At 39.8% G+C, this 26,213-nt stretch overlaps 1 protein-coding gene across 4 annotated transcripts in view; it reads left to right on the top strand.

Moving 5' to 3' along the window:
* SRGAP1 (SLIT-ROBO Rho GTPase activating protein 1) overlaps positions 1-26,213 on the top strand; it is a 317,518-nt gene that overhangs the window by 175,873 nt on the left and 115,432 nt on the right. For all 4 annotated transcript variants that reach the window (NM_020762.4, NM_001346201.2, XM_024449096.2 and 1 more), the window contains exons 5-6: positions 22,218-22,400; positions 22,875-23,003. In NM_020762.4, the coding sequence (NP_065813.1) occupies positions 22,218-22,400; positions 22,875-23,003 (312 nt within the window). The remainder of the gene's footprint in view (positions 1-22,217; positions 22,401-22,874; positions 23,004-26,213) is intronic.

Genomic DNA, 26,213 nt, shown 5'->3' on the forward strand with positions numbered 1-26,213 from the left:
TGGCTTATGCCTGTAATCCCAGAGCTTTGGGAGGCCAAGGCGGGTGGATCACCTGAGGTCAGGAGTTCGAGACCAGCCTGGCCAACATGGTGAAACCCCGTCTTTACTAAAAATACAAAAATTAGCCAGGCGTGGTGGCAGGTGCCTGTAATCCCAGCTGCTTGGGAGGCTGAGGCAGGACAATCGCTTGAACCCAAGAGGTGGGGATTGCAGTGAGCCAAGATTGTGCCACTGCACTCCAGCTTGGGTGACAAGAGTGAGACTCCGTCTCAAAAAAAAAAAAAAAAAAAGAAAAGAAAGATGATTACTTCAGCCTTGAACAAAGGTTCTCAAAATAATGGCATAAACCAAATAGATGTTTATATTCTGTCTCACAAAAAAAAAAAAAAAGACCAAAGATTGACAGTGCAGGCCGGGTATGGAGGTAACATAAAGCCTTCCAAGACTCAAGCTCCTCCTACTGCATTGTTCAGTTAAACCCCATTGTAAGGTTTGTCCTTAGAATTCAAGATGATTGCTAGAACTCCAGCCATTACATCTGCATTCGTGGCAACAGAATGGAAACAGGGAAGAAGGGCCTTGCCTTTTAAGGAGACTCCATGAAAGTCTCACACAAGACTTTCATATACATCTTATTGGCCAGAACTTAGAACATGGTTCCACCAGGCTGCAAGGAGATCTGGGAATTTCAGTATTTTCACTAGTCAGGTCATTGCTAACCTGTTTTTTAAAAATGGGATTCTGTTCATTTGAAAGAGAAAGAGAGTGATTTGTAGCTAACTAGCCATGCCTGCCAGAGTAGCTAACATTTACCACATGCTGATTATGTTGGTGCTAGTTATTGTGCTAAGCATATTATTTGCATTATTTTATGTAATCCTCACAGCACCTCTATGAGGTAGTTATTCTCATGATCCTCATTTGACAGACGAGGAAACTAAGGCTCAGAGGGACTTGCCCCAGGGTGCACAGTAAGTGGCAGGGTGGGATCTCAAGTCTAGGACTGGCTGCAGAGCCTCTACCCTTTACTGTCATTTTTATCTCTATCGCCATAGTTGTGGGGAACTATTTTCTAAATAAGATCTCTAAATGTTAATGCCTCCCCCACAACACAGAGAACATAAGCAATTTATCTACAGCTCATTTATAGTTTTTAGAATCAATGGCATTAATGTTGCTTTAACAAAATGTAGGTGGCAAATTGAACATGTGGCTCAATGGCAACCTGTACTTCTTAGACATGTGTATTTAAATGATTTAACAGGTGGAATTCATTGGCTAAAAGTGAAAGGGTGAACCAGGATCCCCAGACTCCCTTTCTCAGCCTAATTTGCTAATTCTTTTTGAGTTAAACATTTGAAAGCAAGCTAAAGGATAGAATTAGCAAGTTTGGGAGTAGGGTTAAGAAACCAGGGACACCATTGTGCTATCATGAAACAAAAGTAACTGCACTGGCAGTCAGCAAGCTTATATTTGAATCCCAGCTTCATTAATTGTTAGTTGTGTGGCACTGGGAAATCATTTAGCTTCTCTGGGCACCTGTATTAGTCTGAGTTCTCCATAGATACAGAACCAACAGAATGGGTGTGTGTGTGTGTGTGCATGTGCAAAGTGATTTACTATAAGGAGTTGGCTCCCACAGTTACAGAAGATGAGAAGTCCCAAGATCTCCAGTGAGCAAGCTGGAGATCCAGCCAGGAGGGTTAATGGTATAGTTCTTGTCTGAGTTCAGGCCTGAAAACCAGGAAAGCCAATGGTGTAAGTTCCAATTCAACTCCAGGAAAAGACCAATGTTCCAGCTCAAAGACCATCACACAGAGAGAGTGAATTCTCTCTTACTCAGCCTTTTTGTTCAATGCAGGTCATCAGTAGGTTGGATAAGACCCACCTATATTGGAGAGGGCAATCTGTTTTACCCAGCCTACTGATTCCTATGTTAATCTCATCCAGAAGCACTCTCACACACATCCAGAATCATGTTTGACCAAATATCTGGGCACCCCACGGCCTAGTCAAGTTGACACATAAAATTAATTATTACGGCATCTGACAAGGCACAAGGATATAATGGGGAAGGGTCAATGCTTAAATCACAGCTCTGTCCCTTTCTGGTGTGCACAACTCTGCACCTCAGTTTTCTCATCTGTAAAATGGAGATCAAAATAATACCTCTTAGAGTTGTTGAATGAATGTTCTGAAGACAAATGGAAGCATTTTGCATGCTTGCTGAGCTATGCACTATGAGATGTACTGGGAATATAGCTGTGAATAAAAACAGACCAAGTCCTTCCTCTCAAGGCATTTACATTCCAGTGAAGAGAGAGAGAGGGGCCATAAATAAATGTATAATATGGGAGGTGTAAGAGGTAAGAGGAAAAGTACAGCTGAGTTGATACAGGTAAAGCATTCAGAACAGTGCCTGTCACACGGTAAATGTTTAAAAAACATTAGTAGTTAATGTTAGCCTCCTCATCATCATCGCCCTCTTTATCAGTGAAATGGGGATGGCCCCAGCTTCATGTCAGCCTCACAAAGTAAATGCAGATATCAGGAATGATTTTAACAGTAATTACAGATGGTTTTTTACATATATATGAATTTTTTTATGATGAATATATGTTACTTTTGTACCAAAAAAAAAAAAAAAAAAAAAAAGGAAGGTAACTTCCCTAAGAAACTACGTTGATAGTAAATGTTAACAGGGCTGTGATCGAAGAAGTGGAAAAGTGAAAGGCAAAAACAGAGAAAAATGGTGACACAAAGGTTAGAGGGAACATTCAAAACAAAATGTGCCTTCATCGGCCCAGTAAAGAGGTCATATGAAACGGGTTTAAAGTGTTAAGCCCGTCCCACTACCAAAATCTCAAAAGGTTATGTAGTATTTTAATAGAAAAACCATGATTTGCCCTTTATTACTATTTCTTTACTTTCTCTAGGCTTTACAGCATTACACTCAGCATTTTACAAAACAAGGAGTTGACCACTCTCAGTCAGCTAATTCTAATCAAGATTAACACAGATGTCATGATAAATCCATGTGAAATTGATTGTTAATTGTGTGTAATTGATTATCACACTCTCTATGCATCAGCAGCACACACAGCTAGCCAGAGTCAAGAGGTAACCTATCCTCAAGTTCCATTAGATCAAGAGGAAAAGAACTGAGGAAATGAAGATATATCCAGCCCTTTACCATGAGGGCAAGCACATTATCCCATTTATTTCCCGCAGCAGCACTGTGAGGCAGGTATGCCTAATCTCAGGCTTACATGTGGGAACTGGGGCTTGGAATAATTAGCTCAGGATCATACAGACAGTAAATGACTGATCCAAAATCTAAACCCACTTCTGTTCCCAAGGCCCATCAGTTCCTCACTGGGCAGCTGCCTTAGAGAAGGATGTGCAGAGGAGGTGGTAGGAGGAGGGATAAACCTGAGCTAAAAGAATCAGTAAAACTCTCACACTTCATTCTATGATGGATACTTGTAAAAACATGAGCTTTCTAGACTGTTATATGGGTTACAGAATGGGCAAACCCAAATGACTTCGTGTAATCGGCTTTCATATTAGGATATGAAGCCGGGTGTGGTGATTCACGTCTGTAATCCCAGCACTTTGAGAGGCTGAGCTGGGAGGATCAGTTGAGCCCAGTTCAAGACCAGCCTGGGCAACATGGCAAAAACCTGTCTCTCCTAAAAAATTAATAAATTTAGCTGGGTGTGGTGGTGTGTGCCTATAGTCCCAGCTGCACTGGAGGCTGAGGTGGGCAGATCACCTGAGTCCAGGAGGTCAAGACTGCAATGAGCCATGATTGCGCTACTGCGCTCCAGCCTGGACTCCAGCCTGGGTGGCAGAGTAAGATCCAGTCTCAAAAAAAGAAAAAGAAAAAGAAAAACAATTAGGATATGTTCATTTTGGGTGCAGCCTTTCATTTAGCTTTAGTGTTATAATGTAAAACTTCCTGTTCAGTGTGCATATGAAACACAGTGGTTACTTCTAAGGATCCATGTCTTGCTCCATTCGACTTTGTTTTCTTCCTAATGAGCGCTAACTCCAGTATGCCTGTATTAGTCCGTTTTCACACTGCAATGAAGAAATACCTGAGACTGGGTAATTTATAAAGAAAAGAGGTTTAATTGACTCAGCTCCCCATGGTTGGGAGGGCTCAGGGAACTTACAGTCATGGCAGAAGGCACCTCTTCATAGGGCATCAGGAGAGAGAATGAGTGCCAAGTGAAGGGGCAGCCCTTATAAAACCACCAGATCTCCTGAGAACTCACTCACTATCATGAGAACAGCATGGGGGAAACCACCCCCATGATTCAGTTATCTCCACCTGGTCCCGCTCTTGACACGTGGGGATTACTACAATTCAAGGTGAGATTTGGGTGGGGACACAGCCAAACCATATCAATGCCTAGCAAATGTAAATGGAGGATGGAGGCTGTCCTGGTACAAACCCAGAGGTGGGCTGAGTAACTTTCACAGGAGCGGTTTAAAAAGCAGAGTTGATGTGAGCACAGAATCTAGCCTGGCCTTTACGTATCTTTGAAGCCCTTGTCTCTTTAAAACGTTTAAATAAAAAAAAAAAAAAAGCTAATTATTTTTTAGAGGGAATGAAAAGATGCTGTTTATTATTTCAAGCCCTTCCTTGAAAACAGCCTCCGAGGACTGCGGAGGGAAACTTTGTTGGCTGGTTTTGTGAGCCTCCCACAGACCAGGAGCTAAGGCATCCTTCTATAAAGAAGAAACATGCCCAAGGCAAGGTTGAAAAGTCATTCCGAGAGCCCAAGATACTTGCCACCTCATATCGGAAGATTTTTCTCTGAGCCTCAAAGAGGTTTTTGAGCTTGAGAAGGGAGGAGTGGGGGTTACGTATTTGTTTTAGCTCAAGGGCATTTTAAGAATTTGAAACATATATTTCTGTAGTGAAAATGAAAATTCATTCCTTTGAGACAGACTACAGAGGCCTGGGTCTCAAAACAAAACACTGAACAAAGGGAAATAAGGAGTAGGAATATGTAAAACGCTCCCAAACTGAAAATATCTTTGGAATACCACATTCTCCATGATGCCTCCTGGAAAACTTTTTTAAAAACACTCTATTTAGGGACCTTGGGCTGACAAAGGATTTCCGTACCTCCTTACCCTGGCTTTGATTGCTAGACACTTCAGTGGAAAGAAAGAGGGACTGGGGTCATGTGACTCTCTGTGAGCAACTTCTGAATTCTAATCTTGGCCTTGACGCACACTGACTTTGGAGACTAGATTAGCTAATTTAACCTGGCTTTGTTTTTTCTGCCAGAATGATCGGGATTAATAAAATGACCAATTCAAGGATCTCTGAGAAGAACTGTTTGATAAGAACTTTATATGTAGACATCTTTGAGGGCATTCTGCTGATCAGTGATGCCAACTGCTTCCTACCTCCCGTTTATAGTTTCATTTTCTTTCTGATATTTAAGAATTAGTTATGATTAATGTTTATATACCACAAGTAAGGCTGTCTTCTTTAAAAAAAAAAGTGAGCCATATGAACCCCAATGTAATTATTTAGCTTAGAAATGAGAATGTGTTAGGAAGTATAGTTTAGTGAAAAAAAAATTCTAAAGAATGTTTTATATCCAGAATCCTTCTCAATGAAGTGTTTTGTCCAAATTACTACATTCTGAAATACAGTATTATAATTTTTAAGTGATTAGAATGCTTTAATGACAGACATCTTAAGCAGTTTATAGTAATAAATATATATGATACTTGCCAAAATAAATTAGAGGCATTTTTCTTGGATTTTACTGTTTGAAATTGGACCAGAAATGTTGACCAATAGAAATGTAAAAAATCATGTAAAGGAAATCAAGCTCTAAATCAGTTGTTATCAGATGATCCAATTCAACATATCTTAACTCACTGGCATAGTTTTCTAACTCACATGATTATGTGAATTTGATCCTACCATAGTTTGATAGCGTTTGGGGACCGAAATGGACCTTTAGAAATGTTCAAATTAAGAACCAGGCGCAGTGGCTCATGCCTGTAATCCCAGCACTTTTGGAGGCCGAGGCAGGCAGATCATCTAAGGTCAGGAGTTCGAGACCAGCCTGGCCAACATGGTGAAACCCCATCTCTACAAAAATACAAAAATTAGCCACGCATGGTGATGCGCGCCTGTAATCCCAGCTACTTGGAAGGCTGAGTCGGGAGAATCGCTTGAACCCAGGAGGAGGAGGTTGTGGTGAGCAAAGATTGCACCACCGCACTCCAGCCTGGGGGTCAGAGCAAGACTCCATCTCAAAAAAAAAAAAAGAAATGTTCAAATTAATCTCCTTATTTTGGAAGAATATCTGGAAGACTCAGAGAGATTAAGTGATTCACTAACGTCCCAGAGCTAACTCATGGCCAGGTTGGAACTGAAACCCAGGTTTTATTTTAATTCAGATTAGCAAGTAGGTTCTTATGAGGTGTGTGCTGCCATGCTAGGAGCTTCAGGTGAGACAGTACCAGTTCAGGGGGCTTTCAGTCTAGCAGAAGTGCTAAAGTTAGGACATAATAACAGCTAACCTTTGTGCCAGACACTATTCTAAGCACTTTACATAATTAGTTCTTTATATTTTCCCAACAACCATGGGAGGTAGTTGAGGCAGAGAGATGTTAAGTACCTTGCCCAAGGTCACACAGCTAGGAAGTCTCAGATGAGGCAGTCTATGCTCTTAGCCCACATGCTGTACTCCCTTTTTACTGGTGAATATAGTGTGGGTACATAACACAGACTATTATGTACCCACAGATAGGTTCAGGGAGAGGGCTTTGGAGATCCAAAGAGAGGGGTCCATGTTGAGGACTGAGAAAATTGCAGAGAGGAAAAGGTCTAAAAATGGACTTGAGAGGATAGCCAGGATTTCAATAAGAGGAGAGATGAAACAGGGGAAAGGCATCTGAGGAAAAGGAGCAGTGAGAGCCAAGGCACAGAGTTGGGAAAAAGCACAAAGTACATTCATAGAATCTCCCTCTGGAGCCCTATCTAAGGAAAGAGAGAAAATCAGAAGTTGAATGATTTAGGAACAGCTACTAAAACGAGATTGCAAAGAACATAGGCAGCAAAAGAAATGGTTAGACATCAAGTCAAAAGCAGTTTGCAAACTCAAAAAGCTCTCTTGCACAGATTAACAAAGGCCTCTTATTTCTCTTTTTTTCTGTTGTTCCAATAAAAGGAGTGAGATGTATTGAATTAGGGGCATACAATATACGTGTCAATTTCCGAACCACTTTTCATTAAAAGAAAACGATTCCATAGCAGCCTTTCCATTTTAGTTGATGCTGCAATTCTAAAGGTGTGGGTCTTTAATGATTTCAAGATTCTGAAGTATCTTGGGTCCTCATTGTAAATATTTCATATATTAAACCTTGTAATATAGAGGTCTAATACACACATGTAATGTTGAAGCCATGTGAAACATTTCCCTGAGAACTAAATATTTAAAGTTGCATGTGACTTTGAAATTCTAGTAAATTTGGTGGGCTTTCATTATGCATGTGCTTTCCCCTTCAACACTGCCAACTACTTGAAACTTTTCCTTTGCCACCAAAGGCTGTTGCTTAGCTCCTGCTACCACTGTGGCCCTGGTTAATATCTATTCCATGCACAAACTCTTGGATATTTCTTTCAGTAGATTAAACTTGTATTTCAGTGCCTCTGAAGACACTGTATGAAAACTGCTTTTGAAATAAGAACTTTCTGAATGACCTTCTCTGTCACTGACTTTCTTTGTTGACTTGTTGGGCATGATTAAGTCTCTTTGCAGCTCAGTTGCTTTGACCCATAAAACAAAAACCATCCCTCGGCTCCCCGGCCTCTCAGGTGTGTGAGAATAAACAAGTGAGCACTGGATAGGCTATAGCTATTGTGGGCTGAAAAGATTTTCTTAGTTTGTTCTGGCTGCTATAACAAAATACCACAAACTGGGTGGCTTATAAACAACAGAAACTTATTTTCCAGTTCTAGAGCTGGGACATCCAAGATCAAGGCAGCAGCAGATTCAGTATCTGGTGAAACCCCTTTGTGGCTCATAGGCAATAACTTCTTGCTGTGCCCTCACATGGTTGAAGGAACAAGAGGTCTCTCTCACGCCTCTTTTGTAAGTGTACTGGTTGCATTCGTGAGTGCTCTGCTCCCATGACTGATCACCCTGGTTATGTCCCCCCAATCCTGTCATCACCTTGGGAAGTTAGGATTTCAACATATGACGTTGTGGTGGACACAAACGTTCAGACCATAGCAGATGTGATAGAAGAGTGGGGTACTTTATTACTTGTGTTGCATTCGTGAAGCATTCACTGTGTACCAGTGATCACTGCAAGGGCTTGACATGTATTCATTTACTCATTTATTCATTTTTTATATTCATTTTTCCAACCTTACAGGTAATACTCTTATTCCCAGTTTAGAGGTGAGTAAACCCAGGAACATGGTATAAGGCAAAACTAGTATTTGAACCCAAGCATTCTGATTCCTGGGATGAGCCATTAGAGCTGTTCAGAAGTGGAATGGGCTGTCTTTTAGGACAGTGCTCCTCTCTTCTTTCCGGGTCGCTGCCAGCAAGTACGGAGAGAGGAGCTATGACTTTAAGGTCTTAGAATTTGTGGAATGCAGTTACTCCCCATTTGGCCAAAATCTCAGAATTTGTGTCGTGTCTCTAAATCAGATAAATGGAGAGTACTAAAAGCATTGTTGCTTCTGCTCTGAAATTGTTATAGGATTATTTTTATTGCATCCAAGTCTTAAACACTGAATGGCTGGGGATGGGTTCTTTCTACGAATATGTAAGTCCTGAGCATGGCCGAGTAACACACAGCCCTGTGATCAGGGAGCTAGACTGGTGAGATATGTCCATGTACAGTGTTGGGCACCAGACTACATAGAGATCTCTATGGCTCTGGGCAAGCATGGAACCACTCAGGAGACTTCCTGAAGAAGCTGACACCTGAATTTAGTGATAAAGGATGGATGGGAAAAGCGTTCCAAAAAGAGGAGAGTGTGTGACGGAAAGCACAGATGTGTGAAACATTGCCTCTGCAGGGAACTCCGTACACTCTAATATTGCAAGATTGTTAGCAAATCATTGATGTAAAAATAAATGAAGCAGGCTGGGGGCGGTGGCTCACGCCTGTAATCCCAGCACTTTGGAAGACCAAGGCAGGCAGATCACTTGAGGTCAGGAGTTCGAGACCAGCAGGCTGAGGCAGGAGAATCACCTGAACCCAGGAGGTGGAGGTTACAGTGAACCGAGATCTTGCCACTGCACTCCATCCTGGGCAATAGAGCAAGACTCCGTCTCAAAAAATAAATAAATGAATAAATAAATAAATAAACAAAGCATTAAACTGAGATTTCTTAAAATCCCATTTCCTTACCATTCTCTCTTTACCCCACTACAATGAGTACTTGAGAGAAAAGAATCTTTTGCTAAATTAGAATTTATTGGATAAAATAGCATTTATTTCATGTCGAAATCTCTGGTAATTGTGAAGTGGGCAGATACTGTAGTATAACACCAAATTGATAATTATGTTTATAAAAAATTATGAACTAATGAACTAGCATAAATCAATAAAGAAGAAAACATAATTGGATTTCTAGCAATAGAACATTAATTAAGTCCAATAAGACAAGGCCTATTTGTTATACATAGTAGAGGGCTTGAGAAACTTTTGATGAATATGAATGTTGATCAAGAGTTCCTTAGAGATAAACAAAACCAATAACCCCACCTATGACTCAAAGACTTAAAGTAGAGCCTGCCTCCAATAACTGCTGGAAAGAGCAAGTGCAGATTAAGATTTATAAGTACACTTTACTTTCATTACAAATAGAAACATTTTCTTTTTAATAAGGCATAAAACAATTTATCTTCTTTAGGGTAAGTTGATCCTTTTTCATTAGTTTTATTAAAGTACCAAAATCTTATGAAACTAATTGTAATTTATGTTAACATTTAAAAATCATGGTTAAATTTAGCATTTTGAAAAAGATGACTAATGCCCTGATTTAACTTAAATGTAACCATCAAAAATAGAAGCATGTAGCATATCTGTAAGTATGTCAGCCCACACAGACCAAATAGCTCCTGGGTTTTCCTCCTTAATGAGCACTTGCTGATTGATCGATAATCAGTTTGGGAGCTAATTAAAGTCACTAGAGTAATAGATATCCCTGTATAAGGTTCATCAATTTAACAGTGTGCTAGACAGACTATAGGGGCATTGTTCATTTCTAGATATAATTTCTGTTCAGCAAAGCAGATGAGTTATGGCCTTGGAGCCCATGGAGAATTCCCGGAGGAATCTTATATCCCTGGCATAGCACAGTGGACTCCTTGCTGTCTCAGGTCAACAGAACCAGAAGGAGATAATTAGTACAATTTGTTGTTATACTGGCTTTTTCTTTTGGTTAAAATTTATCTGCTGGCTGGGCATGGTGGCTCATGCCTGTAATCCCAGCACTTTGGGAGGCCAAGGTGGGTGGATCACTTGAGGTCAGGAGTCCAAGACCAGCCTGGCCAACGTGGTGAAATCCTGTCTCTACTAAAAATACAAAAGTTAGCCGGGTGTGGTGGCAGACACCTGTAATCCCAGCTACTTGGGAGGCTGAGTCAGGAGAATCACTTGAGCCTGGGAGGAGGAGGTTGCAGTGAGCCGAGATCACACCACTGCACTCCAGCCTGAGCGACAGAGCAAGACTCTGTCTCAAAAAAAAAAAAAAAAAAATAGCTGCCATCTACCCTGACACTGAGAAGTATGTTATATATGTTTCCCCAAATAATAAATTCTTACAGAATTTAGTTACTATGAGATAAAAATTTGAAATCATGGATTCAATATCAGTAGAATTTTAGAGTTAGAAACGATCCAAGAGGGCACATAAACCAACCACCTCCTTTGTAGGAGTTACATAAACCTTGCCCTAGAGTCACACAGTCTCTGCATGGGAGACTGAAGGCTCCAACAGAAAATAAAAACTGGAATAACAGTAAGGACACTGTTTTCATATACTACTCCTAAATGTCATCCTACACTATTTCCTCTGAGCTTCATCAGATATTCTCCTTTTAAAGGATATATTAAAATTCTCTTGAAAGGAAGCCTTCTGCACCCAGAAGTTATGTGATCAATTTTTCCCTCTATGATCACGCCTCTACTTTGTACTTTGTCTTTCATCCTACACTTTTCAAAGTGCCTGAGGTATAAAGTTAGATTTGATTGTCTCCCTAATTTTGATCCTGTAGAGAGACCTCATGTTGTCATGTTGTCATCTCTAATAGATGAGGGTCAGAAAGGCTGAGGTTACAGAGTTATTTTGCAGCAAAGCCAGGACCAAAATCCAGGTTTGTTGTTCATAGACCTTTCCATTAAAAATGCTACTCTGTAAATTTACTAGGGGCAAAATCTCAATATGCTATGGTGTTGCAGGACTTTTCCTTAGTTCAACTAAAGACAGGGTTCTTTGTCCCATGGCCATGAAAATTTAGGCTCACAGACAATTTGAATGGTGAGTAAGACAGGGTTTTATTTGGTGAAAAGGAAGAAAAGGGGGAAACAGAACTCTCCCTGGGACAGTGTCCCATGCTCCAGTGCTTCTCCCACTGGAAGACTGAATCTCAGGTTCTACACAGGAAGAGGAGGGACCAGCTCCTTCCCACTGCAAAGGGCCTAAACTTGCCGAGGTTCCATCCCATGGGCAGGCCAGTTGGCGTTTCTCCAGTGACCCCCTCCCACCTGGCTGTGTCAATGGTAGTATGAGATACTTTCATTTTTTTACAAATAGTTAAAAACTCTGCCTCATCAGTCAGATCTCTGGGCTGAGAGAGATCCTGAGTTTGCCCCACCATTGGATTGCTTTGTGGGTCAGAAGAGAACTGGTTTATCCAGCAGCCAGGCATGGAGCAGGCCTGGGCCAGCACAGAGTGACCCAAGGCAGTGCCTTGACCAGAGCCACGGACCTAGCTCTGCACATAAGTCCTGCCCCCGACAGCTGACAACAAGCCCCCACAGTCACTTTTTAAATTCTGGATGACGTGATTTCCTATTACAAACAAGTGAGATGAGCTTTCAAAGCAAAAAAAAAAAAAAAATTCTGCCTCATGTTTCTTCACTTATTATTGATCTTGAGCACATTTCAAACATTTCTTTAGCCTGTCTGTGAATTTTCTGCTGCATTATTTGACCCATCTAAATGTATGAGTATCAGTGCTTTTACTTTTTAGCAATGTACATATTTTCATATAATATTAATGTTATTTTTGCATCAAACATTTTATCTACATTACCTTTTTTAGTCATTTTTTATCATTATACAAAGTATGTGTAGAGGGAAACATCACACTGTACCCCATAAATGTGTACAATTTTTTTGTGTCAATTACAAATAAAAATATTTTTTAAATCCCCAAAAAAGAAAAAAAATGCCGCTCTGTATGATAACTCCTGAAACAAAAGTATTAACACTACAGTGAACAGAAGCTGATTATTTCTGTGATGTTTCTTAGCTTTATTTCCTCCCTTTGCATATGTGTTCTCCATTTTTCCCTTTGTTTTACTTAGTCCCTGCATCTCGTTTGCCCTGTCATTTGGTTACTTGGCAGTCCCTAGCCAGCAGGGTGCAGAGTCCCAGACAGTGTCTTTTGTTCAAAGCATTTGTTTGGATTATAAATATAATTTGATGATAAATTCAAACTGTTATGCTGATTTCATTTCAGTGGAGTCACAACGTATCTCAAATTTCCTTTGATAAACTTGCCCTAAAGACCGTATCTCATGCTATTTAATTGTTCACCTTGGTCTATTTGCTCATTCTAAAGAGTTTTGTGGCCAGGTGTGGTGGCTCATGCCTGTAATCCCAGCACTTTGGGAGGCTGTGGTGGGGGCGGATCACCTGAGGTCAGGAGTTAAGACCAGCCTGGTCAACATGGTGAAACCCCATCTCTACTAAAAACACAAAAATTAGCCCAGCATGGTGGCGAATGCCTGTTATCCCAGCTACTCTGGGGGCTGAGGCAGGAGAATCGTTTGAACCCGGGAGGCGGAGGTTGCAGTGAGCCGAGCTCATGACATTACACTTCAGCTTGGGTTACAGAGCGAGACTCCATCTAAATGAAATAAATAAATAAATAAGACTGGGTGCGATGGCTCACGCCTATAATCCCAACACTTTGGGAGGCCAAGGCAGGTGGATCATGAGGTCAGGAGTTCAAGACCAGCCTGACCAAGATGGTGAAACCCCATCTCTACTAAAAATACAAGAATTAGCCACTCACAGTGGCAGGCGCCTGTAATCCCAGCTACTCAGGAGGCTGAGGCAGGAGAATTGCTTGAACCCGGTGTGAGGGGGTAGTGGAGGTTGCAATGAGCCGAGATCACACCACTACACTCCAGCCTGGTGACAGAGTGAGACTCTGTCTCAATAAATAAATAAATAAAGAGCTTTGCTAAAATTCTTAACATATTCACTGATATGGTTTGGCTCCGTGTCCCCAACCAAATCTCATGTTGAATTGTAATACCCAGTGTTGGAGGTGGGACCTGGTGGGAGGTGATTGGATCATGGGGGTGGTTTCTGATGGTTTAGCACCATCCTGCTCGTGCTGTCTCATGATAGAGTTCTCACAAGATCTGGCTGTTTAAAAGTGTGTAGCACCTCCCCCTTTGCCCTCTTCCTCCTTCTCTGGACACATAAGACATGCCTGCTTCCCCTTCACCTTCCACCATGATTGTAAGTTTCCTGAAGCCTCCCCAGCCATGCTTCCTATACAGCCTGCAGAACTGTGAGTCAATTAATCCTTTCTCTTTATAAATTACCCAGTCTCAGGTGGTTCTCTATAGCAGTGCAAAAGCAGAGTAGTATATAAATGGAAATATTGCTGATTTTCTTCCTTTTACCTCTATTAGAAACAACAATCCCTCCAATCATGGAAAAATTATGACCTGTTATTGAAATGAATTATTTAATGGCATTCTTTTCAAATATCAATAGCTGACATTTACTGTGCACTTATATGTCAGCCTCTTCTGTGCTCTTCGTATGTGTTAACACATTTTATCCCCCCCACCACCTTAGGCAGTGAGTAATATTGTAATTCTGATTTTACAGTAAGGAAATTGAGGCACAGAAAGGTTAGGTTACTTGCCAAAGACCTCACAGCAAGTAAGGGCAGAGGCAGGATTTGAACCCAGGCAGTCTGTCTCATGAGTCGGAGCTCTTAACCATGAGTATGCTACTACTCAAACTGAATTGTCCTATAAATGCTGCTTTGCAAGTGTAATTGAAGTTTTGTAAACTTTGCTTTCACTGATTTATGAAGAGCCACATTGGCCCAGGGAGAGAAGGTGGGTTTGTGAAAGTTTATCATTGTAACAGTCCTGCTGGCCACTCATGACCTCAGGGATCAGCAACTCTTTCAGCCCTGATGCTGGGAACAAGAAAAAAAAAAAAAAAAGAAAAGAAAAAAAACTTTCTGGTTTCACTTGCAGGCCTTAAGTGGGAGGTGGGGGATGGGATGGGAACTGAGAAACAGAGACATCCATTGTAGGTGTATGTTAAGGGCTGGCTTCTCATGCCTTTATATCCTTTATATAAATGAAATATATTATCCATTTTTTTCTCTCCCTAAATGGGCTTCCAGACTTAAATATAAGCTGATTACAAAGAAGCCTGGGAATTTTTCTCTACCTAATTCTCACTCAGCCTACCCTGAAGTCCAGCAACTGCCCCTCTCCCACCTCTGCATATATCCACTTCCTATTTGTAGTGCAGTAAGAGTAGGCTGGCCTTTGTGTCACCCCTACTGGGGAGAGATTATGTCTTTCATCTCTAGTCTCAAGGCCTAGCACAGTGTCTGGTATTCAGACACTCAGTAGCTGTTTGGTGGATGAATAAATAAAATCAGTATACATTGCACCCTGAAACCTGGGCTAATGTCTACCTGATTCTAGAGTAACTGTCACCATACATTGAAAAAGGCGCTAATTATAAGAGGTGTGTGTAGACAGGCCAAAAGCATTTCCAAAGTGTGAATTCAGGAGTGTTTTATAAATGTGTGTCTTTGCAGTCGCCTCCAAGGCCATCCTTACTGATATATTGTTTTAGTTTTTATGAGGTTTGTGCTAGCCCAGTTCTCAACATGAAATAGCAAAAAGGCATCTGTTGGTCTGCTTTTATTGTACCTCAGTTCTCTCTGCTGCTTTGCCTTTGGGAGACAGTGGCCTGCACCTATCTGCTTAGAGCCTGGATATGAAGGCCCAAAGCCTGCACTGTTACTTCTACATCATACCTTAGACACTGTCAAGAATCATAACTACCCACCGTGCTGTGTGCTTACATTCTGTCATTTCATCCCCATTTTACCTCGAAGGAACTGGAGCTCAGGGGCATTAGGAAACTTGCCCACTTAAGAATTGATGGCACTGGAACTCAAATCCAGGTCTTCCTGGTTCCAGAGTCTGTGTTCATCAGCGGGTTTGGCCAGGTATACTAAAGAGCAAGAAGACTGGAGATTGCAGATGTAAAGATCATGGCACACGTGTCCTGAGTGCTCTTTTTGAGGGAATTCCTGCCCACTACCACTGTCTCAAGCCGCCAGAGAGACAGCTTGCCCAAAGAGAGGCTGTGACCTGGAGGGAGGTACTGTGGCTGTGTTAGGTTCCTGGGGTTCAGCTGAAGGTGGCCCTGGTGGCTTTCCCCACGCACCTGAGAGTTTCCTGGGAAACAATGGGCGTGGGCTTCCAAGGCTGTGGTATTACCCCAGTGGTTTGGTTAGTCTGGCACTTGCAGAAATTCAGCTACAGTTAGAGTCCTCTTATGTATTGATTGTAGAAAATAGATCTTTATCTTAGGTAGTTGATAAGAAACCCAAAGAATGTAGTTTCTCAGAAGAGCTTTTAGTGATTAATGGATTTAGTGAAGCAGCAGGCTATATAGAGTTAGGAAATATTGTCACTAACATACTGTTTTTCATCTCCCTTCCCTGCCAAACCACCACATCATTTCTTTTCTGAGAGGCCATAAATTCCAACACTAACCATATTTCACAAATGACTTAGAACTATTTGTCATCCCATTAGTCCAATCCCAGGTATTTATTGCTGGTGCTATTTTGGAAGCCGAGGATAGAAAAGAACAATGCCAGATGCATTGTAGATGTTTAATAAATATTTGTTAAGTGAATAAATGGATGGACAAGCTTACTATAAAATGGGTTCTTATCCTTCATTTGATTCTCACCTATTTTACTCATACTGTATATGAGACAGTTTTAAGAATCTGAAGGTACATAAACATGACTGGTACCCTGGCTCTTCTTACAGGACAGTCCACAATCTGGGTGGTACACAGAGATCTGTGACATATAGCTAAAGTGCTATGTGCTGAAGACTCTGAATGAAGAGCTGTCTTGAAAGACAATACTTGTCTTGGCAATCAGAAGAATAAGATCCCTCTGGCTGAGAAGCCAGGGAACACTTAGCCATAGGTGAGATTTAAGCTTGCCATGGAGAATGGGTCAAATGTCAAAAGGAGGAGGTGCTGGGGGACAGCAGCTCAGGGACTTGCTTGGGAGAAGCTGCAGAGGCAGGAACATATAAATTCTGGGGAGGGAGCCGTGAGTGACTGACTCAGAGTGGTACACAAATTGCTGCTTGGATGGGTGTTGGGACCAGTCTGATAGCATTGAACTCCATGGTAGAGGGAATCATGTCAAGTTTAAGAAAAGGTCAAAGAGAATGGTAACAGGGAAAAGGCCTTATAACTGTCATCGTGGATTCTTTTTCTTATTGTCCATTCCCTCTTCCTCCGTACTAAATGAAGTCACCCCAAGCCATCCTGCATATCTCCACCATGTTATTACTAAGACACTGCTTTGACCATACTGTCTGCAACACTGTGGATTCACCAACACCTATAGAATACATTATGCCCTTCTTAGTGGGGGTTTCAAGACTCTTTGGCCCATGCCAACTTATCTAATCTTATCCTTCAGCTTGTTACCCAACCATCTACTTTCCAAGTTCTTCCCTGGACCCCTTCTCTGCCATCTTGGTCTGCTCATGCCCACCTCACCTGTGTGCTTTCCCGCATCCCTGCCTTATTAGAACTTTGCTTGTACCATCTTTCTAGCCTGGATGCCCTCCCTTCATCTGTGCCCATCAGAATATCAAAGGCCCATTTTTTAGTCTCCAAAATTTTAAACTCTTAGAAGATGGAAACCAAGTATTTCTTTTCACACCCATCAGTGGGTTATGGGTGGTAAGCACCAAGCACATGTTGAATACATAAATATCTTTCATCCTCTCTTTTCCTCTATTCCTACATATAACTAAGAGTGACTGTATCCCTTAGATAAAGAGGCCTTCCAATTGTATGATACTTTAGACTTTCCAAAGGTTATGGCGTAGCAGTCCCAAACACCTCATCTGAAGCCAGGCTGTCTGGGTTCCCACCATTGCTGTGCCAGCTGTGTGACCTTGGACAAGTTACATAACCTCTCTTTGCCTCAGTTTTTTCATCAACATAAAGGGAAGAATAAAGGTACTTATTTCATAAGAGTTTCTAGAAGGATTAAATATGTTATTCGTAAAATGCTGAAAAGTATGTCTAGCACATAGTGAGCATTATATAATGCTTGCTAAAGTAAATTATACGTATATATGTACATATCTGTATATATTGTATACATAGATATATATAGTAAATACTCAATAAAATTTAAATTAAAAAAATACACACACAGGGACACACAATTTGGCATCCATGACGACCTTGTAAAGTAATCAAGAGGCATTAAATAATTTCCCGACACCTAGTAATTGTAGATCCATTCCTGGGATCCGTGTCTTCTAACTTTTGAGCCAGTAGTCAAAAAGTAGAAACTATATCATTAATCTATTGATCTCTCCAACACATATAGTTTTCAGATATATAGTGATTTCTTAACACGAAGCATTAAATTTGCTACAGGTATTTTTATTATTTTGATTTAAACTATAAGAGTAGTGTCAGATACATGATATGGCCATGTCAGTAAGAAAAAAATATTAACTTCTGTGCAAGTTATCATATAGGATATCCCAATCTCCTAAGGAAATTCATGACGTGGGTCGTTTTCTACTTGACTATTTTTTCAGCAGTTGAGGAAAAATGGAGCAAGAAAGATAAATTAGGTGTATTGAATGGAGAATTATGCATGAAGTTTTAGTAGAGAAGAATTCAAACAGGAAAATATGCTATGGGAGTACATTTACATGGCTATATGCCTGTCAGGTCATTTGGTATGCAAAGGCTTGTGTTTGCATTAAGCTGGTGGAGAAGCTGTTATTTTCTTTGCAGTATGTATTCAAAATGCACCTGTAAAAAATAAAAGCTTTCCTTTACTTCTCTGAAAAAGAAAGAGAACTGTCTGTTATTTTAAACACAAAATACATTTGACTTCTGTCAACAGCTTACATTTTAAATAATGCAGTTTGTACTTGCATTCATTATCTGCAATTAGAGTTCTCGAAAAAGCTTTTAGCGTTTATCTCCCCAACTTTTAAAATTCATTCACTGTAACTGTTAACATTTTAGTGAATAGTGGAAACCCTAAGACAAATTGGAAAACTCAACAAAGAAATTTGCTTTCCGGAAATTACCACCGAACTAGGTAGAGAATACTCAGCTATTGTGCTGAACCACATTATGATGAGATACACTCTTTTCTTTCCAGCGTTAGGTCAGACTCAAATGTTTTCCTTTTAACCCACACTAGTCAGTAAGGAACACCCTGCTGGCAGTCAGCGCAGTATCCTTTCTCTCAGGCTTAGTTTGTGCAAACTACCTGTTTATACTAGTCCTCAGTGTCCAAGTCAAGCAAGAGTCAGAAGTTCAGATTTTTTCTTTGCGATAATTTATTTAAAAGAAATATTTCTCAGATACTCGGGGTGGCCTGAGGTGCCTTTTCATCCAAGTGTAATGAGAGTCACATGTTCTCATTTCCTCACTCCTATTAGCAAGAATACAGACAGCTGAGCAACGTGTGTGTGTGTGTGTGTGTGTGTGTGTGTGTACACCCTCTCATTTTAAGATATAACTGGAACCAAGACCCAAATATAATAGTATGTGGGTTTGCTTCAGGCAGGGAATAACAAGAGCCAAGCCTAGAAAGAAATGCAAGGTGTGTGTAGATTCGTTGACCTTTTGCTGTTTGCCCAGCTGCGGGGTGACTCCCTTTTCATTTCCCAGCTGCTCAGCTGCTTCCTACTGCTATTTTATTTTGCTTTTAAACTGGAGTAGCCAACCAAACTTCTCCCAGACAGGTTCAATAATTACTAAAAACAGACAACTTTCCAATTACACACGGCTCAGAAAAAGCTGCCAGTGCTTTATATTTTAGCCCTTACTTTGTTCTGGCTCTGTAATGCCTTTAACATGATTTACCAGCTTACATTTTTAAGGAAAGCCATCATCAGATTTTATGAAAATAAGTAAAGGTTCTTCGTTAACCCCATGTTTTACCCTTCAAAATAGTCATCTTGAGAACATGTGTTAAGTTGAACCATAAGAAAATGCTGATTTTCCACCTTTTTAATAACCTACAGAAACATCAATTTCATATGGATTAACCTAAATAAATATATTTGTTCCAGTGATGCTTCCAGGTCTCAAACTATTTAAAAACTCATCTCTTGAAATGAGAAAAATCAAATTCATTACTTGAAAACATTGCATTATTCTCAACTTCTTAGACCTTAGTTATAAAATTGGCTCTGAGTAACGTGGTTATTTCCATATGAAATGAAGTCTGTCTTCTGGGGATGAGAATTTGACATCATTTATAATAAAGTACTGCCACAAATGCTTAGCACTGGGTGCCGAGTTCGGGTGTGCTCCTCGATACATCCTTTGCATTGGAGTCATCACACCTTACATGTGTTGTTTCTTTTAAGGAGCATAATTGTGCTCAAAATACACAGGTTTTCGAATTCACCCGGATGTCTGACATATGAAAGCATACTGAAATTATATTGGAAAAATTATGATTTTCAGATAAAATCTGTGACTCTGAAATCTGTGACTGTTACTCTCCTGTACCTAAGAATACAGAGATTACATACCGATTTATAGGTACCGTTATAAAAATAATGAATAGCTTGTTTATTATTTAAGAAAATATTTATTAAGCACCTATGTTGTCTGAAATACTTTCAGAGATAACACAATAGATCAGTTTATTTTAATTAGCTGAGTATAAAATTGGCAATATATTACTAAGTCTCAAAAATGTGCATATTCTCTAATGCTGCAATTCTATTTCTGAAAATTTGTCCTAGGAAATATGACACAATTTTGTACACAAACTTTTTTGTAACAATAATATAGCCAAAATGTGTAATAATTGAGGATTCATTCTGTAAATTTTAATACATTATGAAATTGTTATGTTCTATATATTCCTAAATTTATTAAAATTCAAATTACATATATCATTTCTAAGAGAATAAATTAGATATACATCAAAGGTTTTTAACACAACTTTATAAAGCAAATAGTTGAAATATCCTAAAGTTTTTAACAATGGGGAATTAAGTTATGGAACAGTCATATAGACAAATACTATGTAGCACTTAAAATTATGTTTAGAAGAATATTTAATGATATAGGAAAATATGCTGATATCTAAGTGGCAAAGGACATTGTAATCTAAAAATTACAAACGTAGGATGATCTCAGTTTTTTAAAGAGAGAAATCATATATGGCATTTTATTTTATTTATTTATTTATTTATTTATTTATTTATTTATTTTTTTGAGGCAAGGTCTCACTCTGTCACCCAGGCTGGAGTGCAGTGGCACAATCTCAGCTCACTGCCACTTCCACCTCCCGGGCTCAACCAATCCCCTCGCCCCAGCCTCCCAAGTAGCTGGCTCTACAGGTGCATGCCACCAGGCCCAGCTAATTTTTTTATATTTGTAGAGACGGTCCCGCTGTGTTGCTCAGGCGGGTCTCAAACTCTTAGTTAGGCTCAAGCAGTCCTCCCACCTTGGCCTCCCAAAATGTGCTGGGATTACAAGCGTGAAGCCACCATGCCCTGCCCTTAGTTTTAACTGCCATCCCCTCACTACAGTAGCCAGCCATATATGGCATTTTTAAAGGAAGAAATGTGTGTACATGTGTGTATGTGTGTGTGTGTGTTTTCATAGAGAAAAGGCTGGAAGGCTTTATACTAAAATCTTGTCAGTGGTTATCTTTGATTGCTTTTTATTTTCTTTATTTTCTTTTATATTATTATTATTATTATTATTATTATTATTATTATTATTTGAGATGGAGTCTCACTTTGTCACCCAGGCTGGAGTACAGTGGCACAATGTCAGCTCACTCCAACCTCCACCTCCCAGGTTCAAGTGATTCTCCTGCCTCAGCCTCCCGAGTAGCTGGATTACAGATGTGCCAACACACTTGGCTAACTTTTTGTATTTTTAGTAGAGACAGGATTTCACCATGTTGGCCAGGCTAGTCTCGAATTCCTGACCTCAAGTGATCTGTCTGCCTCGGCCTCCCAAAGTGCCGGGATTACAGGCATGAGCCAGCATACCCGGCCTATTTTTTTGTTTTGTTTTGTTTTTGTTTGTTTGTTTTTTTAAGAAAATAAATGTTTTCTACATTGAACATAAAAAATATATATTACTTTGTGGTCAGAAAAACAATGTTTTTTCAACTAAAACTATGTATGAACCTTAATATTTACATTTTTTACTTTGAAAAATAGATTTTATGCAATAAAATTCCTTTAATAAAGACTGTACTAATTTGGGTTTGGGTTGGGCTAAAATCAATCCATGAATAAACGGTTTATTCTGCAAATTAATAATGTAGAGGAGATTTTACAGAAATACTTTTAAGCTTAAGAGAACTTTTCAAGTACATTGAAAAGTATGCATAAGACTCCGTAAATCATTTTTTCACCAAATCCTGTCCTCTAGGTGCTTTTTCCTGGCAGATGAATTTGCATATTTCTGTGTGCTTTATGTAGAAGCAGTAGTCCATAATTCACTTACTTTACTGACAATCTGACTTTTCCCCTCTGCCATTTGGAAGGTGGTATGTGTATCATATACGTCGTATAAATGGTTCCCATTCACTCTCTAAATGACAGACAGACATCTTGTAACAATTTGGGTCACTTTTCCACAGGTGATGAAAACATACCATATGTATCATGCAGAGAGCATCAGTGCAGAGAGCAAGCTGAAAGAGGCCGAAAAACAAGAGGAAAAGCAAATTGGGAGATCTGGTGATCCAGTCTTCCATATTCGACTAGAGGAGAGACATCAACGGCGAAGCTCTGTAAAGAAAATTGAAAAAATGAAAGAAAAAGTAAGTAAAGAGATTGCAGAGCTCTTCTGCCTTCATTTGAGGAGACAATACTAAGAACACTGATGCAATAGCTGATATCCACACATTGTAAGTTATTGTGAAAAGACATGCATTTCCTCCCATGGGAATGAGAAATGTTTAGGAAATATAAAAATCATGTAATAACAGCTGGACATCATTTAGTGGTGAATGCCAAGTATTCAATACACAGTGTGGAGAACTTGAATATTAACAAGGAGATTTCATTGCAAATGGGCCTGAAGCCCAAATACATTGTTATTATTCCCCATAGCTGGGTAATTTTAGTTTGCTATTTAAATCAGATTCAAAATGTACTTTTGGCAAAGGACTTTCAGGGTCATTTGTATATGTGGAATAAATTGTTAAGGTTAATAAAAATGCATGTATGTTTCTCTGTCTTGATTAAAAATGACTTTGCATTCTTTCCCAATGCCTGGATCTTCTTCATTCCAGAGACAAGCAAAATATTCAGAAAATAAGCTAAAATCAATTAAGGCACGGAACGAATATCTCCTAACACTTGAAGCCACCAATGCCTCAGTTTTCAAGTACTATATTCATGATCTTTCTGATTTAATTGATGTGAGTACTTGAAGTTTTTGTCTTTTCCATATTAAAATGAAATTAACAATAACCATATTTCGTTGATTGGAAAATACTGTCATTTCTTAAGACTGTTATTTTACGTAATACTCAAAAAGAAAAAAATACTTTTATTTAAATTATCCGTAATATGAAGACACTATCATCTGTAAGATGCATGTGAAAAAGCGTGTATCCTAAAACCAATGAAAAATAACTGGTTAGATTCTGTGAAGCTGTGAGAAGCCTGGTAAACTTAGCTAAGACAGGGCCCAGTCATTTGCAAGTTATGCAGTGGCACAGCCCTAACTGCATTCATTAATTCAAAATATATTTATTGGGCCCCCACTACTGTGAGATGCTGAAGCTCTTAGAAGCCATATGCAGCCCTTACCCTCTAGGATTTAAAGTGGAGAAGACATACTTAAGAAATGATTAAATGGATGATTACTTTATTACAGTTGTGATCATTACTGGGATGCAAAATAGAGTGCACATAAGTGACATTTACAGATGTAACTAAGTCTCTGTACATTCTCTCATAGGATATGATATAAAAAAGCAGTAATTAGGTTTATTTAGAGCTCTCCTAATACATATTCATTATATGTATGCAGCATTTACTGCCATTATTCCCCAACTTTAACCCTCCACATTATTAATTCATCCTTTCATTCAGAAAACATGTACTGAGTAGCCCAGTAATTGTGCTAACACTGTAAGAGACTGCAAAGATGAAACACAAAAATCCCATGTCCAAAAATGCCACTGCCTGCAAATAAAAGATAACAAGTGATTAAGTGCCATAAAAACAGCACAGATAAAGTCATAGAGGTTCAGAGGGTTATCTGCTGGAATTTTATTCATATACTGCTTTGTATTGCCTGGATTCAACAGTTTTATTATAGAATATTTTATGGCTCATAGTAGCCGTCATAATTTAAACATACAGTAGGTTAAAACAACTTCATTTTTCTGGTGAATTTAAGTCTCATGTATTTAGCTGTGCCAAACTGTTCAGCCACAGTTTGGGATTTCTACAAAAGAATTGTTGAGGGAAGGAATTATTTTTTAGCTTATTAACACTCTGATGTGCCTCTTTTTTTTTTTTTTTTTTTTTTTTTAAGACAGAGTCTCACTCTGTCACCCAGGCTTTAGTGCACTGGCACTATCGCGGCTTACTTAACCTCTGCCTCCTGGGTTCAAGCGATTCTTTTGCCTCAGCTTCCCGAGTATCTGGGACTACAGGCACATGCTACCACACAGGCTAATTTTTGTATTTTTAGTAGAGATGGGCTTTCACCATGTTGCCCAGGCCAATGTTGAACTCCTAAGCTCAAGTGATCCACCTGCCTCAGCCTCCAGAAGAGCTGGGATTACAGGCCTGAGCCACTGTGCCTGGCCAGCCACCTCACCCAACCTCTGATGTGAATTTTTTCTTTTCGTCTCAAAACAACTTTATCCTATAATATCATAATTTGTTTATATAGAACCATGTAGTAATAAATAAAACCAGGGAAATTTTTCTTTTTTCATTTATTACAAAATATTTCATTCAAGTAATCACTTGATTATTTTAAATGCAGAACCTTTTTGTGTTGTTTTAAATACTTACTTCTTCCAGCACCCTAATGAAATAAAACGAACTTTTTCTGTTACACTGCCCCTAGATTTCCTAAATAAAAGATTTTATTTTAGTTTTTTGAGTAAAAATAAAGAATTTTATAACCCCAGTTTTCAAACTTAAATCTGTCAGGTTTCTCCAAGGTATAGGGAATATAAAAGAACTAATATTCTTTCTTGCTTTTTTGATTGGGGTTCATTTTCGTAGTGATTGGAGTACTTGGCTAAATCCAAACCAATTTTTTTTTTTTTTCTGAGATGGAGTCTCACTCTGTCACGTAGGCTGGAGTTCAGTGGTACAATCTTGGCTCACTGCAACCTCGGCCTCCCAGGTTCAAGCAATTCTCCTGCCTCAGCCTCTTGAGTAGCTGGAATTACAGGCGTGCGCAACCACACCCAGCTAATTTTTGTATTTTTAGTAGAGATGGGGATTTACCATGTTGGTTAGGCTGGTCTCGAACTCCTGACCTCGTGATCCACCTGGCTTAGCTTCCCAAAGTGCTGGGATTACAGGTGTGAACGTGCCACCGTGCCCAGCCCATCCAAACCAACTTTAATACAAGAAAAACTCTCCGTGTATAGAAAAGTACTTCTTTAATACCTAAAAGGTGCTAAGCACCATTCCTGACAATGGGAATCCAGCAGTGAATAAAATGAAGGCTTCATCTTTATTGATTTTATGTACGAGTTGGGAGACAAACTATAAATGAATTTATATACATACAAGTACATGTATACACACACACATATAAAATAAGTCATGACAATGCCATACAGAAAAATGAAACAGAGCTATGGATGTGGTTCTTTTGATGGGGTGTCCAGGAAAAGCCTGATACCTGAGTAGAGGAGTGAGCTGCAATGCCATGCAGCTATCTGGGGAAGGAATGCCTCACACAGAAGGACTGGCATATTGAAGGGTGCAGAGGCAGAGGTGTGTCTTCCCATCTTAAGATGCTCATGGAATAGCAAAGGAGGCCAGGATGGCTGCAGCTGAGCAAGTGAGGAGGAAGGTGCTAGGAGATGAGGTTGGCAGAAGCCCTATCACTTAGCATCTTTTGGATAGGGAAGGGTTTGAATTTTGTTCTATGTGTGATGGGGAGCCATTGAAGGGTTTTTTGAGCAGGGAAGTGACATCACCTGGGTTACATTTTAAAGATTCACTCTGGCAGCAGAGTGAGAAATAGACTAAAGGAGGCAGGAGGACACGAGTGAAAACAGGGAGCTATAGCAAGAGTCTTTGTGGTTGCCCAGGCTAAAGATGATGCTGGCTTGGACTGGTGTAGTAGTGATAGACCTACACAAGTGGTAGGATCAAAACAGATTGAAGCTAGAGCTCACAGGAATTTGCTGCCATGTGTGAAAAAGAGGATAGAAATGACTGCTAGGTTGAGGTCCTAAAAAATGACTCCTAGGTTACTGATAATGCCATCTACTGAGATGGGGGCCCCAGGGGAGAAGCAGGCTGAAGCGGGAGCAGTAGTCCTGCTATGTCTGAGAAGACTGAGATACCTATCAGACATCTGTGTGGAGATGTAAAGGAGCATCCTCAATATTCTTGGGATATATCAGACTGGAATCGCATAT

Source organism: Homo sapiens, chromosome 12 (genome assembly GCF_000001405.40).
Source record: "Homo sapiens chromosome 12, GRCh38.p14 Primary Assembly".
In the NCBI taxonomy this organism is placed as follows: domain Eukaryota; kingdom Metazoa; phylum Chordata; class Mammalia; order Primates; family Hominidae; genus Homo; species Homo sapiens.